Source organism: Homo sapiens, chromosome 9 (assembly GCF_000001405.40).
Source record: "Homo sapiens chromosome 9, GRCh38.p14 Primary Assembly".
Lineage (NCBI taxonomy): Eukaryota > Metazoa > Chordata > Mammalia > Primates > Hominidae > Homo > Homo sapiens.
The window spans coordinates 91,213,595-91,232,004 of NC_000009.12; the positions used below are offsets into that span (position 1 = coordinate 91,213,595).

The 18,410-nt window shown below is 39.4% G+C and overlaps 1 protein-coding gene across 17 annotated transcripts in view, besides 1 other annotated feature; it reads right to left on the reverse strand.

Annotated features, from left to right (window-relative positions):
* AUH (AU RNA binding methylglutaconyl-CoA hydratase) overlaps positions 229-18,410 on the reverse strand; it is a 148,096-nt gene continuing 129,914 nt past the window's right edge. For 9 of the 17 annotated variants that reach the window (NM_001306190.2, NM_001698.3, XM_006717150.4 and 6 more), the window contains 4 exons: positions 7,211-7,398; positions 3,683-3,733; positions 2,465-2,512; positions 229-831 (listed from right to left, as the gene is read on the reverse strand). In NM_001306190.2, the coding sequence (NP_001293119.1) occupies positions 754-831; positions 2,465-2,512; positions 3,683-3,733; positions 7,211-7,398 (365 nt within the window). In that variant the 3' untranslated portion in view covers positions 229-753. Of the gene's footprint in view, positions 832-2,464; positions 2,513-3,682; positions 3,734-4,765; positions 5,364-7,210; positions 7,399-18,410 lie in introns of those variants that run through there. The other 8 variants (XM_047423525.1, XM_017014849.2, XM_005252067.5 and 5 more) reach the window with 3 other exon arrangements.
* Positions 3,687-4,287: an enhancer, noted in NCBI's record as "OCT4-NANOG hESC enhancer chr9:93979563-93980163 (GRCh37/hg19 assembly coordinates)". NCBI's record gives its function as "activates a minimal SCP1, AML or CMV promoter by ChIP-STARR-seq in primed H9 embryonic stem cells {active_cell/tissue: H9 hESC(primed)}" and the evidence as "EXISTENCE:reporter gene assay evidence [ECO:0000049][PMID:30033119]".

Genomic DNA, 18,410 nt, shown 5'->3' on the forward strand with positions numbered 1-18,410 from the left:
GCTGGGAGGAGGTCCCAGCAAGTCCCACTGCACTAGGTCTCCTGTCCGCTTTGGTTCTTTGGCTTCAGTCTTTGGATTCATTCTTCACCTTCAATACTGTATTACAGGACTGACCATGTAAAGAGGTTGCCTGATAGAAGCAGCAATGAAAGGGTTGTTTCTTCTAAAGTCCAGCATGCAATGATTTAGTCAATTCAAAAAGAATGGGGTAAGAGAAAAATTCCCATGTTTTCTTTTCACTAATTTTATTTATATTAGGTAGTTTTCACTCAGAATATCAATTCATTTTTCAGGTTTAGATATATGTATATGTAGCTGTTCGTATGCATTAATCACTTAGAAACTTTATTTGGTATAACTTCACATTTTTGGTATATAGAAATTTTATTTTCTTAATGCAGCACAGTAGACATACAATCAATATTATTCCCTAGAATGTGCAATATATAAATTATTCACATTAAAAAATTAACAGAAAGCCTCATATGCAGTAAATATTTAAAAATGTATATCTAACTTTGATTCTGTTTCTGACTATACACTACTAGCTTTATAAATCTGAATGAATATGACATTTACACATTTGAATGAAGTACACGGATGGGTCCATTCCAGATGCTTATTACACCGTATGAATAATCTGCTCTTCACTTTGGTCATTAAGGTTCCATGTGCTGAGGCATATAGTGGATCCGAAAGACACTTCCAGGAAGTACATTTATTACATTGGCATCTTAAGAATTTCTGTTCCTTTTATTCTCCTTTATAGCGAGGGGGCCTTTTCTCTTTAAAAGCAAGAAGACCTTCAAGTCTGTCTTTTGTTGGAATGGTCTAAGAAAAACAAAATATTAAATATGTCAAAAATGTTAAAACAACTGTAAAAGTTTATCAAGCACTATCTAAGAAAACTACTTAGAACCACATTCTAAAATTTTGAAATCAGTCACCTGAACAATTCTCCTAATTATGTAACCAAACTCATCCTTCTTACTCCAAGTGGTCCTCTACCCCATTTTGCTCTTCTTTTTCTAGTTTCCTAATAAGGTGGAAGGTTATTATCGATTTAGATATTTTCTCTTTTCTATTATATACATCCAATGCTATTTCTATCTAAGCACTGCTTTCAGTATATCCCACAAACTTTGAGAAGTTGTATTTTCATTTTAATTCAAAATACTTTATAATTCCTCAAGACATCTCTGACATATAACATTATTTAGAAGGATGTTGTTTAATCACCCAATATTTTGGGTTTTTCCAGCAGTCTTTCTTTTATTGATTTCTAGTTTAATTCCATTGTGGTCTGAAGAATACCTTGAATAATTTCTGGTGTTTACATTTAGTAAGTTGTAATTTATGGCCAAATGTGCTTTTAAAATTTTTCTTTGGGCTCTGAGGCTATTTCTAAGACGTTTGTAATTCACTTTCCTCATGGCACGTACTCATCAATGACAGGTGGTGATTTATATATACAAGCTGGGCACAGAGTCACACTCTAGATACTGCTCCTTTAAACGAGTGCTCATGCAGTTTCCAACTCCCAGGAAAGGTAGAACAAAACTTTTTTGCTATTTCAGATGCCCTAAAACAAAGTTCTATCTTTCAGAGAAAGACAAAAAAGGGAAAACATTTTTTTTTTCCTCTCCAGGAAGACCTAATAATTTGTATGCAGTCATCCCTCAGTTATCTGCAGGGGATTGGTTACAGGACCTCCTGCAGATGCCAAAATCTGCAGATGCTCAAGTCCCTTATATATTAATAAAATTGCATATCATATTACCTACGCACATCCTCCTGTATACTTTAAATCATCTCTAGATTATTTATAATACCTAATATAATGTAAATGGCATGTACACAGTTCTTATACTATATTGTTCAGGGAATAATAAGGAAAAAAGTCAGTACATGTTCAGTACAGATGCAACCATCTTTTTTTTTCCTGAATATTTTCAATTTACACTTGGTTGAATCCACAAATGCAAAACTTACAGATGAAAAGGGCCGACTGTGTAAAAAATAAAACTATAATTTCATTAGTGAACTTTCAGTGGTCAGGAGAGACAGATCAGAGGTTCAGGAAAAGCCAAGCAGTCTCACCCCAGGTTGCATGGCAGGCACACGCTCATCACCACTCTCCTCTACCTCTCTACATTGCAGTGGGAGGCCAGGACCAATCCCACAAAAGAAAGCATAAGCCTAGAGAGACAGCTCCTGCACACCCAGGACTGACTCAGTTACTCTAAGAGTTTTCTAGATTATATAGACAAGAGGCATTCCTGTGGAACAGAATCAGTCATAAGAGCTGGTAACAAATAGCAGAAACAACTAATTTCAACCCATTTGTATGATTTTGGAATGGGCGCAAGGGTAATCTTGCTCAGTGAAATTCATTTGAATTATACAGAAGGTAAATATAATTTGTAAGGGTCATCCTCATTGAATTTGTGATTGCATTACATACCTGAGCATAACAAGCTTCTTCTATGGCTAACCCTGTTACTAAATCGACCTGAGAATAAAAACATAATCCATTTCAGCAGAAATAACTTTGCGAAATGTGGTATATTCAACAGAAATTCAAATTGAATAACCTTATCCCCAAAGCACCCAATCCTTTGATATAGTACAGCAGATCAGAGTGTGACCAACATGAGACACAGAACCAGGCTTCCTGGGTTCGTCCTGACTCCCTCACTTGGGAGCTGAGTTACCTTGGGGAAGTTATTTAACCTCTCTGTGCTTCAAAGAGGCATGTCTGAACAAGGGGCTAATTATAATGCTCACCAAATGGGAGTATTGTGAGGATTAAATGAGTTAATCTAGGTGAGGCCTTTATGTCGCGACACACACACACACACACACACACGATGCTTAATACATAGTAAGGGCTATATAAGGTATTTGCTATTGGTATTGTTACCATTATGTAAATATTTAAATAAACCAATCAAATACTTTTGCAAATTTATGAAACTGTATTTACTGTTATACAGTATTGACTGTATAAAGTCAATCTCTTTTTACTGCTATACAGCCCAGGAAGATGCGGAGGTTCCTTAGTCTACCAAGAAGGAAGCACTTTTCTTCAAAATACCCATAAGTTACCCAAAATATAATAACTGCCATGAAAAGTCCAATAAATGGGTATGTGCACCACCCCCTCCTCCCAGGCCTGGGGCCTTCACTCTTTTGGAGTCATCTCCCTGGGGTACCCCCAGGACACACAATGGATTCACCTTATACCTGCATTGCGTGTGCCTCCTTGTAGAAGGCACACTGAGAAGCTAAAGGTGGAAAGAGCTAGCTGTTCTTGGAATGTTTTGTATAATATAATACTGATGCTAAAAATGCACAGAATGCCCTGTTATTTTGGTTTTCTATGAACTACTAGCCAATAAATCTGTCTGTTAACTGGATGGCAAGAATAATGAGCATGTCATAAGCTTCAGGGCACTGGTAAAATTACTGAATTCTGTGCTTGTGATACTGAATTAGCAATAACTGTAAGAATGAAATAAATGACGTACTTGCAAGGAACTTCAGTAGCTTTCAGTAATAGTAGCATTTAAACAACCATATTTTAGAACTTTAAAAAAAATGTAGAAGTCTAAACATGGTTCATTTAAATTAAATCTCCACTCTCCATTCCCAAAACAAACTCAAGCATTAAGGAACCTACCTCCATCCCTTGATTAATTGCTAATTTTGCCACTCTCATTGCAACAGGTCCCTAAAATTCAAATTAAAGAAACAGACTTCAATTATTTTTTATGCAAATTATGTCGTATATCTCAGTAAAATTCAGAATTCCCACCACTGGATCCATTGCACAGCCAGCAATGGCTGTCAGATACTAGATGGAAAATTTTCTGAGCCTTGCAAGGCTGTAATTAAAGAGCAACTGCAACAACCACATCAGCACATTATTTAGATTCCACATGTTTTGTTATGCTGCAAACTCCGGATCCTTAAAGGTGAGCAGGTAGTGCATGTCCAGCTGTGAGCTTGCTGTTCTTCAGCAACACTTCCTAGAAGTTAAGTAGAGGAAGGAAAAGGAGGTAGTCTTTGCCTCAGTACCACACCAATTAGGGGTTTTGAAAGAAGCTTGGGCTGGGGATGAGGCTGTTGCTATTGATTAAGGTAGGGTTCTGATATCATCTCCTTCAGACACTGGCTATATTTCCTCCATTCGCCTTGACAACTAACAGCAATGATGGTGGATTAATCAACAGTGTCCTCTAAGCAGTGCTCCCACAGCACACATAAATATGAAGTCTACATAAGTCTTTCAGGATGCAGAAGAGTCACAAGGAATGAACTGGATATCTGTTGTGAGAAGGAGAATGTTACCTGTGTCTTGCAGAAGCCAAACTCTTACCAAGCAGAAAAACCAGAATCCCTCAGATGGAATTTCATTATTGGATCACATTTTAAAGTCCTAAAATACCATTTATGGGTAATAAATGTGAATTCAATGCTATATTTTGAACTGAATGCTCTTTTGAATTAAAACACAAGGTAGGCTCTAAACAACAGGCACAGCAAAGGACTCTTGGATGGTGACATGGATAAATGCATGAAAAGACATGTTTTCCTATCAAGGAGTTTCTATTATTAAATTTGACCTATCTAAATTTTCTTCCAAATCATGTTTACAAATCTTTTTCAAAGGCCACAATTTCCAAGGCTATAGTTGTTAGACAAATATCTTATTGATAATTCTTCCCACTGTGATTTGTATATATCATAGACACCACCACCATTTTTTTCATGATAATCAATCCATTTTATTAAATGGTGTGCTCCTCTAATTTTTCCATTTTCATTGTCAACTGACCAAGAAAAGGTGCTTGTCAAACTCCTAGATGCACACAAATCCCCATCCTCCTTGTTAAAATGCAGATGTGGACTCAGTGGGTCTGAGATGGGCCTGAGATTCTGCACGTCTAACAAGCTGCCAGGAGATGCCCAGGCTGCTGGTCCACAGACCACACTTTGGGAAGTAAAGTTTAGAAAGCCATGAGAAAAACAGGAAAATTCAAAATGCTATTAGAAATAGTGCTTGATTTAATTTGTTTCCTCCTTAAAACATTTCCAGTGCCTTTTCTTCTTTACAAGCCTTTTTTTCTCAGATAAATGGAAGTAATATATAATACAGATATCACCTAGAAATACTGATTTTACAAAAGCTTTCAGTTATCTGGAGGACTAATCATTTGGCAACAAAGTAACAAACATAAAAATAAAGGTGATTCCACTCAAACTTCATTTGGTGACTCGTGCATGTAATTTTGCAGTCACATATTTTCTGAAGTAACTCAACATCTTCTTATACATCAACATCTTCTTATTTGTTTGACCTGGAGGAAAATTAATTTTAACAATCAACATTCTGAAGGAGTGTCCTTCCAATGAAAGGTGACAAAGGCACATGCACAGGGACTGTGATGACGGCTGGGTAACCACACAATGGGATGCGGCTCGACACACTGGCAGTGGAAGGAGGGAGCAGAGGAGAGGACAGTGCTCACGTTCTCAGGCGGGGCGGTGTGTGGACGGTGGTGGCATTTGCTGCATGGTGGCCACAGAAGCATCATGGGAGAGAGAGCAAGTCAGGCCCTAAGGGGCTAATAAGCTGCCTATAGGGAGCTCTGAAGTAGAGAGCTGAACATCCATGTCAGGAGGCCAGGAGCGGGCTCTGCAGATCATCAGAATTGGAACTGTGTCATAACCTTTCTTAAACACACCCCTTTCTTTCAACTGAGGTATGTTCTGGTCATAAAGTTTTAAGCCAAGGTAAGTTATAACACCAATATTCAGTCAGATTATACTCTCCTGATACTTGTACCTTTAATTTGTCTTTAGGTAGAGACTTCTCTCATATTTGGGAAGAATAAATAAGTTTGTAGTGAGAATCTTATCTTTTTAAGGCAAAAATCTTTTTTTATTTGCTCTGTTTCCATCAATCCAACAAATACTTATTGAGCATCTACTGAATGTATGGCTCTGCACTACCTTATGTGGGGAATAAATTATATAATGGTCCTTCCCTAAAAGAGCTAACAGCTCCTAAGTTAATTAAGAAGGACCAGAAGCATCAATGCCAGGCAGTGTGGTTTTAAAAACCGATTCAGCAGGTGCATACCAGCAGAGTGGGGACTGGTTTGTCAGCAAAGGCTCCTGTGCTGAGTGCCAAGAACACTTTCTGAAACTGGATGCAAGACTCTGAACAAATGTGAGCATTCATGCATTTTTAAAAAGAATCAAATGCATGAATTTGGAATCTCATGGCATTCCCAAAAAGATCCACAGCCCACAAAAAAGGTTATGAAACCTGTTTGAGTTAAGCAACCCTGAGTTAGAGAGAAAAATTATTTTGACTCTAGAAATGGTTAGGGGGTTATAAAACTTCAAACTCCACTAGGAATAAAGAAGATCACTACTGCTTACACAGCAAAAGAAGACTCTTTCTCTCAATTTAAAGCCCTTTAATCTTGTGATTTCAGACCAAAGGCATATTTGAAAAATATATCTGAACGGGTGACAAAAAGAATTGCTTAAAGCAGGACTGTCAGTGCACGGCCACTGATATCACTCCTGAGTCAGCCATACGCATCATGTTCTAGATTTGAAAGTGTAGTTGTGAGGAAGCACAATGGAGTCAAAACAACGCCTACACCACCATAGGCAAACACACAGAAAGACAAACAACTGCTGCTTTTCAAGCAGGCTTTTCACTTTTCAAGTGAAGCCACTGCAATGGAAGTCCACTCTGGCACAACAGACTACAGTCCCTTACTAGAAAACAGCATATTTCAATGTATTTTGACTTGGGGTGGCCCAGTGTGACAGCCAGCCCTATCACTCTTTCTTTCCATGGCTATGGCTTCCATTAGAGTGCTCAGCTGGTGAGCAAATTAAAACACCTTGCTAGGAAGTTGTGCACATGTGACAAGCATTGTCAAGGGATATTTTATCAAAGTGTGGCTACAATAAGACCCTTGGAGCATCTTCAAAGCGTCATCAGAATTCCACAGGATCATAGTGTTTATCTTGTGTAACTGCTCTAGTTTTACAGAGCCCACGCATCCCTTTACTTGGAAGCAAGCCAGGGACTTCTTCCATAGGCAAGATGACTGCTGTTTTAGTCAAAGTGTTATAATGTTTCCTAAAATGAGAAAAAATAAACTCATTTAATGAGAAATACCTGAGGTAAAAACTCTCTCGCCAGGTCCAAGGCCTTCCTGTAGGCCGCGTCTCCCTCCTGGTTCTGTTCCAGAACGTGGCTGATTAAGCCCACTGCTTTGGCTTCTTTGCCATCGAGGACTCGCGCAGAGAATATGAGCTCCTTGGCCAGGGACATTCCAATGGCGCGTGGCAATCGCTGTGTCCCCCCTGAGGGGTGAAAGAGAGAGAAAAGGCAATGATTTGACACCTGTTAGTTTTAACACTTCAGTGTTTCATATCTTCATTTATAAAAATAAACCAGGGCCAGAAGTTTATATGTTAAAATTAGTAGCTGGAAAACTACTTCAGAACAGAATCTAATTTCTTAATTCCCCTATAAAACTAATAACACCAAAAAAGGACTTGAGAACCTTACATCCTTATTAAGTGATTTTGGCACTGAGTATCACCTGCAACCTCTCTGGTATACACTGAGTCCAATCCACAGTCATCACCCCATCAGTAACCATCAGGTGAACAGCAGTGGATAGGCAGTACCAGCCAGTAAGTCCACTGACTAGAAAGGCAGAGTTCCACCAAGCTTGGCATTCTTCTTTCAGCTTAAATAAATCTTAACACATTGTGAGACATTCAACTCCTGTTCTTTTAAAGAATCCTTTATGGCGAATACATTGTAAACACATTTTAATCTAGAAATAAAACCAGACAATGACTCATGAAAACAGGCTTTGTCCTGGTGGTATTTTCTCAGTGCAAGTCCTGGTCATCTCCGTTAGCTCTTCTCTCGGAGACGCTCTCTCACACAAACACACCCCTTTTCCAGCTGGTGAGGAAAATCCACTGTGTGTGGAGTCAGAAGCCATGCATTTGGTTTTGACGTTGTCACTTACTACTTTAGGGACTTCGGGAGTTCATTAACTCTTCAACTCCAAGGGAAAACAGTGGGTATATTAGCATGATTTAGGGTAAATGTAGGTCAGAATAGTTCTACAGCAAAAGATGCTTATTTTGTTGAAGATAGCCTAACTCACTAGATCCATCTATGTATTCACTTCAGTATCTTCCAGTGATGAGGACGGGATCTCATTAAATACAAAGTTGGGCAAAAGCAGGTAACACAGGTCTAGCCTCAATGTCTACCAAGAAGAAATGAAAACAGCTTCAACATCAGCATTCACCTAAATCTCACCCTATCAATGGCTGTGCCAAGAGGCAGAGGAGCAGCAGACTGCCCCCTTGCAGAGCAGGAAAAGCAAACTGACGCCCACCATCTACACAAGTTCACTGGGTTTTACTTGACCTACAAAATTTAAAACTTTTCTTTCTGCATTAGTTAGCAACATTTAAAACTAGATGAGTGATTTTATCTTAAAAAAAAAACCAATTTACCTCCAGTATTTTTCCTTTAAAGGAAAGCAAAATCATTTTTTGTTCACACCTCTATGAAAAGTGGAAAAAAATTAAAGACCACAAGAAGGCACATGTTTAACAAAGTATGCCTCAGTTGGAAGAACAGAGCTTAAGATGCCATTATTAAGCAAACCATGTTAAGAACCGTAATTAATATTTAGAACACAGGTAACACTTAGAAAAAGAAACCCTGAATGAATTGTAAAAGGACTAATATTTTCAATACAGACTGTTTTCAAACAAATACAATAATGCTACCGCAAAATGCAGTTATTACGTGTTTAAGCTGCCCAAGCCGTTAGAGATGGTGAGTTTATATAAGTGTTTACTCGATACGGCAGAAAATATGTGTCTGAAGACAATGAATTATTGACAAATTTAAATTTAACTTTCGACAATGATGTTGCTCAGTGTAGTAAAGATAGGTCTGAGAACTTACGGGATAAGCTGCATGGAAAAGACAAGCTATTTATGGTGCTTCCAATGGCAGCTGATTAGAACACAGATATAAATATAACTCAGATAACTATATTTACTCATGGAGCTGATGAGAATTTTGATGAGACTGAAGAACTTAATGAATATATATTATTCATGATAAGCATATTAGGAAATGGTTCTTTCTCATGTTCTATGAAAAGTTTAATGTAGACTGGTCACAATTAACAAATGTGACCCACATTGTTAATGTCACACTTTTTATTCAACAGAAACAACATTTTCCAAGTCCCGGAAGCTCAAACTCGTTCATCATATTGTTCCACTTATAGCATGATCCTGAGGTATGAGGATTTTTGCAGAAACTTAACAAAGTAATGGTCATGTAGGTGGTAACTAACACTAGGAAAAAGACCCAGTCCCTTAAGCTGAGGGGTAGACAGCTGGATGCTTTGTTTCTTAAGCTGGATGCATAACACAACAGATGGCTGGCGGGCCTGCGGTGGAGGCTAGAGGTATGGTGCAGAAGAGAGCTAACTTTCTGACCCATTGAAAACAATGCATCACAGGAACCAGGGGAAAACCCTTGGCGTGGCTCACCCACTAACACTGCATCCAGGACTTGATCTTTTTGGATGACATCACAAGCCATCTACTTTATTGCCTCATATAAATGGAATCGTTCAGTATTTGTCTTTCTGTGATTCACCTGTTTCACTTAGCGTAATGTCCTCAAGATTCACCTCTGTTGTAGCATGTGTCAGAAATCCATTCCTTTTTAAGGCTGAATAACATTCCATTGTACGTATATACCACATTTTGCTTATCCATTCACCCCTGGAAGGATACCTGGGTTGCTCTACCTTTTGGCTATTGTGAATAATGCTGCTATGAACATGGATATACAAATATCTCTTCAAGACCCTGCTTTCAATTCTGCTTTCAATATATACAGCGTGGGACTGCTGGATCATACAGTAATTCCAGTTTAATTTTTTGAGAAATCACCATAATGTTTTCCATAGTCACCAAACCATTTTACATTCCTACCAACAGAGAACAAGAATTCCAATTTCTCTACACCCTCACCAACACTTACTATTTTTTTTTATAGTAGCCATCCTAATGGGTGTGCAGTAGCATTTTGAAACCCACCCAATAGTCCCATAGACAGTTCTTTTTGGATAAACAAAGAAATTGACCCTTCTGCTGTTAAAGTTTGAAACTTGCATCTGTTTTGAGTTTCTTCCCCAGAAAAGGACCTTCAGGCCTTTCAAAAAAAGTATCAAAGAACCAAAACTCAGCTGATCACCAGACCAGATGACTCCTTGCCCCTCCCTAGTTCTTGTTTTCTTACACATTGTTACATTTCTTCCCTGCTATATAAACCCCTAGTTTTAGTGGGTTAGGGAGATGAATTTGAGGCTGAGCTCCCATCTCAGCAGCAGCAGCCGATTAAAGCCTTCTTCCTTGGCAATACTTGTCGTGACAGTGATGGGCTTTCTGTGCAGTGAACAGGAGGACCTAGACAAAACCCCTGGTGTTTTGGTAGCAATTTCATTGTGAGTAGTCATGCTGAGCGCCTAAGTTTTCATGTGCTTATTGGCCATCCATATATTGTCTTTGGAGAAATGTCTATTTAAAGTTATTTGCCTATTTTTAATTTGCGTCTTGAGTTGTTTCATTTGTTGAGTTACAGGAGTTCTTTATATATTCTGGATATTAATCCTTTATCAGATATAGACTTGCAAATATTTTCTCCCATCCCATGGGTTGCCTTTTCACTCTGTTGATAGTGCCTGATGCATAAAAGTCTTTAATTTTGGTCCAATTTACCTCTTTTTTCTCTTGTTGCCTGTGTTACTGGTGTCATATCCAAGAAATTATTGCCAAATCCAATGTTATAAAGCTTTTTCTTTATGCTTTCTTCTAAGAGTTGTATACTTTTAGTTCTTATGCTATGGTCTTTGATCAGTTTTGTGTTAATTTTTGCATAGGGTATAAAGTATTCCTAACACTATTTCCTGAAAGGGACATTCTTAAATGATTACACAAATACATGATTTCATTCACTCATTCCCACTGAAATTTTAACTTTTAGAACATTTGTTTGGCAAGAAATTATCCCAGTTTGCAGAAATCTAAGACTGATGGCCTGAATTATATATATTTTTACATGTGTGAAACTGAAAGTAAACTGTCCCCTCCACCCCTCAGGCATACAAAATTCATGATTTCAAGGTTTATAAAAATGATATAATCTGTTCAGTCTGCCTTTCTCAATTACTAATGATACTATGAGCAAAGAACTTTACAAATGGAAGTTACAATGCAATATTGGACAACTAAACATGATTGATATGGAATCTAAGATTTTTACAAATATCTCCGGAATAGTTACCCCAAATGGCAAAACTTTTTATGCCAACATTCTTTTCCAGCTTGAAAGTACTTAAATTTATGAACACGCATTTTCTATAATTAAACTAAATGAAACTCAGTATTCTTGCTGGTTAAGGAAGTCAAATAGTGCAGAAAAACATCCCAATCCAAAAGATGAGATGTGCCAAAATCTTGGTGCAATCATAGCTCACTGTAGCATCCACCTCCTAGGCTCAAATGATCCTTCTGCCTCAGCCTCCCTAGTTAGCATGCCATGCCTGGCATCAGACTGTAAGCTCCAAATGTAAAGAGGAGAACTAGAAAAAAATTACTTCAGTTCACCTTTTCTTAATTCTGAATATCAAACTCCAATATTAACTTAGAGTTAGGGGTAAAAGTGAAGATAGCGTATCCTATTTCTGTCAGTTGACTATTTTACACCAGGCTTGCTTCATTAGATTAGATGATATAATCTGCTAGTTCCCTTAGGCATCTGAATTCAGGATTCCTAAAGTGCCAGTTCTTTTTTTTTATTATTATTATTATTATACTTTAAGTTTTAGGGTACATGTGCACATTGTGCAGGTTAGTTACATATGTATGTATACATGTGCCATGCTGGTGTGCTGCACCCACTAACTCGTCATCTAGCATTAGGTATATCTCCCACTGCTATCCCTCCCCCCTCCCCCCACCACACCACAGTCCCCAGAGTGTGATTGTTCCCCTTCCTGTGTCCACGTGGTCTCATTGTTCAATTCCCACCTATGAGTGAGAATATGCGGTGTTTGGTTTTTTGTTCTTGGGATAGTTTACTGAGAATGACGATTTCCAATTTCATCCATGTCCCTAAAGGACATGAACTCATCATTTTTTATGGCTGCATAGTATTCCATGGTGTATATGTGCCACATTTTCTTAATCCAGTCTATCATTGTTGGACATTTGGGTTGGTTCCAAGTCTTTGCTATTGTGAATAATGCCGCAATAAACATACGTGTGCATGTGTCTTTATAGCAGCATGATTTATAGTCCTTTGGGTATATACCCAGTAATGGGATGGCTGGGTCAAATGGTATTTCTAGTTCTAGATCCCTGAGGAATCACCACACTGACTTCCACAATGGTTGAACTAGTTTACAGTCCCACCAACAGTGTAAAAGTGTTCCCATTTCTCCACATCCTCTCCAGCACCTGTTGTTTCCTGACTTTTTAATGATCGCCATTCTAACTGGTGTAAGATGGTATCTCATTGTGGTTCTGATTTGCATTTCTCTGACGGCCAGTGATGGTGAGCATTTTTTCATGTGTTTTTTGGCTGCATAAATGTCTTCTTTTGAGAAGTGTCTGTTCATGTCCTTTGCCCACTTTTTGATGGGGTTGTTTGTTTTTTTCTTGTAAATTTGTTTGAGTTCATTGTAGATTCTGGATATTAGCCCTTTGTCAGATGAGTAGGTTGCAAACATTTTCTCCCATTCTGTAGGTTGCCTGTTCACTCTGATGGTAGTTTCTTTTGCTGTGCAGAAGCTCTTTAGTTTAATTAGATCCCATTTGTCAATTTTGGCTTTTGTTGCCATTGCTTTTGGTGTTTTAGACATGAAGTCCTTGCCCATGCCTATGTCCTGAATGGTAATGCCTAGGTTTTCTTCTAGGGTTTTTATGGTTTTAGGTCTAACGTTTAAGTCTTTAATCCATCTTGAATTGATTTTTGTATAAGGTGTAAGGAAGGGATCCAGTTTCAGCTTTCTACATATGGCTAGCCAGTTTTCCCAGCACCATTTATTAAATAGGGAATCCTTTCCCCATTGCTTGTTTTTCTCAGGTTTGTCAAAGATCAGATAGTTGTAGATATGCGGCGTTATTTCTGAGGGCTCTGTTCTGTTCCATTGATCTATATCTCTGTTTTGGTACCAGTACCATGCTGTTTTGGTTACTGTAGCCTTGTAGTATAGTTTGAAGTCAGGTAGTGTGATGCCTCCAGCTTTGTTCTTTTGGCTTAGGAATGACTTGGCAATGCGGGCTCTTTTTTGGTTCCATATGAACTTTAAAGTAGTTTCTCCCAATTCTGTAAAGAAAGGCATTGGTAGCTTGATGGGGATGGCATTGAATCTGTAAATTACCTTGGGCAGTATGGCCATTTTCACGATATTGATTCTTCCTACCCATGAGCATGGAATGTTCTTCCATTTGTTTGTGTCCTCGTTTATTTCCTTGAGCAGCGGTTTGTAGTTCTCCTTGAAGAGGTCGTTCACATCCCTTGTAAGTTGGATTCCTAGGTATTTTATTCTCTTTGAAGCAATTGTGAATGGGAGTTCACTCATGATTTGGCTCTCTGTTTGTCTGTTGTTGGTGTATAGGAATGCTTGTGATTTTTGCACATTGATTTTGTATCCTGAGACTTTGCTGAAGTTGCTTATCAGCTTAAGGAGATTTTGGGCTGAGACAATGGGGTTTTCTAGATATACAATCATGTCATCTGCAAACAGGGACAATTTGACTTCCTCTTTTCCTAATTGAATACCCTTTATTTCCTTCTCCTGCCTAATTGCCCTGGCCAGAACTTCCAACACTATGTTGAATAGGAGTGGTGAGAGAGGGCATCCCTGTCTTGTGCCAGTTTTCAAAGGGAATGCTTCCAGTTTTTGCCCATTCAGTATGATATTGGCTGTGGGTTTGTCATAGATAGCTCTTATTATTTTGAAATATGTCCCATCAATACCTAATTTATTGAGAGCTTTTAGCATGAAGCATTGTTGAATTTTGTCAAAGGCCTTTTCTGCATCTATTGAGATAATCATGTGGTTTTTGTCTTTGGCTCTGTTTATGTGCTGGATTACATTTATTGATTTGCGTATATTGAACCAGCCTTGCATCCCAGGGATGAAGCCCACTTGATCATGGTGGATAAGCTTTTTGATGTGCTGCTGGATTTGGTTTGCCAGTATTTTATTGAGGATTTTTGCATCCATGTTCATCAAGGATATTGGTCTAAAATTCTCTTTTTTGGTTGTGTGTCTGCCCGGCTTTGGTATCAGAATGATGCTGGCCTCAGAAAATGAGTTAGGGAGGATTCCCTCTTTTTCTATTGATTGGCATAGTTTCAGAAGGAATGGTACCAGTTCCTCCTTGTACCTCTGGTAGAATTCGGCTGTGAATCCATCTGGTCCTGGACTCTTTTTGGTTGGTAAGCTATTGATTATTGCCACAATTTCACATCCTGTTATTGGTCTATTCAGAGATTCAACTTCTTCGTGGTTTAGTCTTGGAAGAGTGTATGTGTCAAGGAATTTATCCATTTCTTCTAGATTTTCTAGTTTATTTGCATAGAGGTGTTTGTAGTATTCTCTGATGGTAGTTTGTATTTCTGTGGGATCGGTGGTGATATCCCCTTTATCATTTTTTATTGCGTCTATTTGATTCTTCTCTCTTTTTTTCTTTATTAGTCTTGCTAGCGGTCTATCAATTTTGTTGATCCTTTCAAAAAACCAGCTCCTGGATTCATTAATTTTTTCAAGGGTTTTTTGTGTCTCTATTTCCTTCAGTTCTGCTCTGATTTTAGTTATTTCTTGCCTTCTGCTAGCTTTTGAATGTGTTTGCTCTTGCTTTTCTAGTTCTTTTAATTGTGATGTTAGGGTGTCAATTTTGGATCTTTCCTGCTTTCTCTTGTGGGCATTTAGTGCTATAAATTTCCCTCTACACACTGCTTTGAATGTGTCCCAGAGATTCTGGTATGTTGTGTCTTTGTTCTCATTGGTTTCAAAGAACATCTTTATATCTGCCTTCATTTCGTTATGTACCCAGTAGTCATTTAGGAGCAGGTTGTTCAGTTTCCATGTAGTTGAGCAGTTTTGAGTGAGATTCTTAATCCTGAGTTCTAGTTTGATTGCACTGTGGTCTGAGAGACAGTTTGTTTTAATTTCTGTTATTTTACATTTGCTGAGGAGAGCTTTACTTCCAAGAATGTGGTCAATTTTGGAATAGGTGTGGTGTGGTGCTGAAAAAAATGTATATTCTGTTGATTTGGGGTGGAGAGTTCTGTAGATGTCTATTAGGTCCTCTTGGTGCAGAGCTGAGTTCAATTCCTGGGTATCCTTGTTGACTTTCTGTCTCGTTGATCTGTCTAATGTTGACAGTGGGGTGTTAAAGTCTCCCATTATTAATGTGTGGGAGTCTAAGTCTCTTTGTAGGTCACTCAGGACTTGCTTTATGAATCTGGGTGCTCCTGTATTGGGTGCATATATATTTAGGATAGTTAGCTCTTCTTATTGAATTGATCCCTTTACCATTATGTAATGGCCTTCTTTGTCTCTTTTGATCTTTGTTGGTTTAAAGTCTGTTTTATCAGAGACTAGGATTGCAACCCCTGCCTTTTTTTGTTTTCCATTTGCTTGGTAGATCTTCCTCCATCCTTTTATTTTGAGCCTATGTGTGTCTCTGCACGTGAGATGGGCTTCCTGAATACAGCACACTGATGGGTCTTGACTCTTTATCCAATTTGCCAGTCTGTGTCTTTTAATTGGAGCATTTAGTCCATTTACATTTAAAGTTAATAGTGTTATGTGTGAATTTGATCCTGTCATTATGATGTTAGCTGGTTATTTTGCTCGTTGGTTGATGCAGTTTCTTCCTAGTCTCGATGGTCTTTACATTTTGGCATGATTTTGCAAGCGGCTGGTACCAGTTGTTCCTTTCCATGTTTAGCACTTCCTTCAGGAGCTCTTTTAGGGCAGGCCTGGTGGTGACAAAATCTCTCAGCATTTGCTTGTCTGTAAAGTATTTTATTTCTCCTTCACTTATGAAGCTTAGTTTGGCTGGATATGAAATTCTGGGTTGAAAATTCTTTTCTTTAAGAATGTTGAATATTGGCCCCCACTCTCTTCTGGCTTGTAGGGTTTCTGCCAAGAGATTCGCTGTTAAGTCTGATGGGCTTCCCTTTGAGGGTAACCCGACCTTTCTCTCTGGCTGCCCTTAACATTTTTTCCTTCATTTCAACTTTGGTGAATCTGACAATTATGTGTCTTGGAGTTGCTCTTCTCGAGGAGTATCTTTGTGGCGTTCTCTGTATTTCCTGAATCTGAATGTTGGCCTGCCTTGCTAGATTGGGGAAATTCTCCTGGATAATATCCTGCAGAGTGTTTTCCAACTTGGTTCCATTCTCCCCATCACTTTCAGGTACACCAATCAGACGTAGATTTGGTCTTTTCACATAGTCCCATATTTCTTGGAGGCTTTGCTCGTTTCTTTTTCTTTTTTCTCTAAACTTTCCTTCTCGCTTCATTTCATTCATTTCATCTTCCATTGCTGATACCTTTTCTTCCAGTTGATCGCAGCGGCTCCTGAGGCTTCTGCATTCTTCACGTAGTTCTCGAGCCTTGGTTTTCAGCTCCATCAGCTCCTTTAAGCACTTCTCTGTATTGGTTATTCTAGTTATACATTCTTCTAAATTTTTTTCAAAGTTTTCAACTTCTTTGCCTTTGGTTTGAATGTCCTCCCATAGCTCAGAGTAATCTGATCGTCTGAAGCCTTCTTCTCTCAGCTCGTCAAAGTCATTCTCCGTCCAGCTTTGTTCCGTTGCTGGTGAGGAGCTGCGTTCCTTTGGAGGAGGAGAGGCACTCTGATTTTTAGAGTTTCCAGTTTTTCTGTTCAGTTTTTTCCCCATCTTTGTGGTTTTATCTACTTTTGGTCTTTGATGATGGTGATGTACAGATGGGTTTTTGGTGTGGATGTCCTTTCTGTTTGTTAGTTTTCCTTCTAACAGACAGGACCCTCAGCTGCAGGTCTGTTGGAGAACCCTGCAGTGTGAGGTATCAGTGTGCCCCTGCTGGAGGGTGCCTCCCAGTTAGGCTGCTCGGGGCTCAGGGGTCACGGACCCACTTGAGGAGGCAGTCTGCCCGTTCTCCGATCTCCAGCTGCCTACTGGGAGAACCACTGCTCTCTTCAAAGCTGTCAGACAGGGACATTTAAGTCTGCAGAGGTTACTGCTGTCTTTTTGTCTGTGCCCTGCCCCCAGAGGTGGAGCCTACAGAGGCACGCAGGCCTCCTTGAGCTGTGGTGGGCTCTACCCAGTTCAAGCTTCCCGGCTGCTTTGTTTACCTAAGCAAGCCTGGGCAATGGTGGGTGCCCCTCCCCCAGCCTCGGTGCTGCCTTGCAGTTTGATCTCAGACTGCTGTGCTAGCAATCAGCGAGACTCCATGGGGTAGGACCCTCCGAGCCAGGTGCGGGATATAATCTCGTGGTGCGCCGTTTTTTAAGCCCGTCGGAAAAGCGCAGTATTCGGGTCGGGTGGGAGTGACCCGATTTTCCAGGTGCCGTCGGTCACCCCTTTCTTTGATTAGGAAAGGCAACTCCCTGACCTCTTGCACTTCCCAAGTGAGGCAATGCCTCGCCCTGCTTCGGCTCACACACGGTGCGCGCACCCACTGACCTGCGCCCACTGTCTGGCACTCCCTAGTGAGATGAACCTGGTACCACAGATGGAAATGCAGAAATCACCCGTCTTCTGCGTAGCTCAGGCTGGGAGCTGTAGACCGGAGCTGTTCCTATTCGGTCATCTAAAGTGCCACTTCTAAACAGTCTTGGTGACTGATGACATTAAGCAGTGGAATTAAAAAAATAGGATTGTCCTTGGTGAAATTATAATTGTTTCAGTCTCACAAGCAGCCCTAATGCATTCAAGGTGACAGAGGTCTACAAAACTATTCAAACTCACACTGTCCATCCCAACAGCTTCCAATGCAGAGCCTGACTCCTGGTCAGGATCTGCTCTGAGGCTCCCTGGGCTGGAGCTATATACTCAGGGATTACGACATCAGCAAGTAACACATTCCCAGGACACTCCTGCAGATACTCCATAGTACTACAGAGTATGAGGAGAAATGTGAAGATAAGCTGAAAATTACAGGATAGCTCACAAGGCTTCCACTAAAAAACAAAGATCTCACAGCGACCACAGTTAATAATAGTATGTACTTATATGATTTTGAATGTTC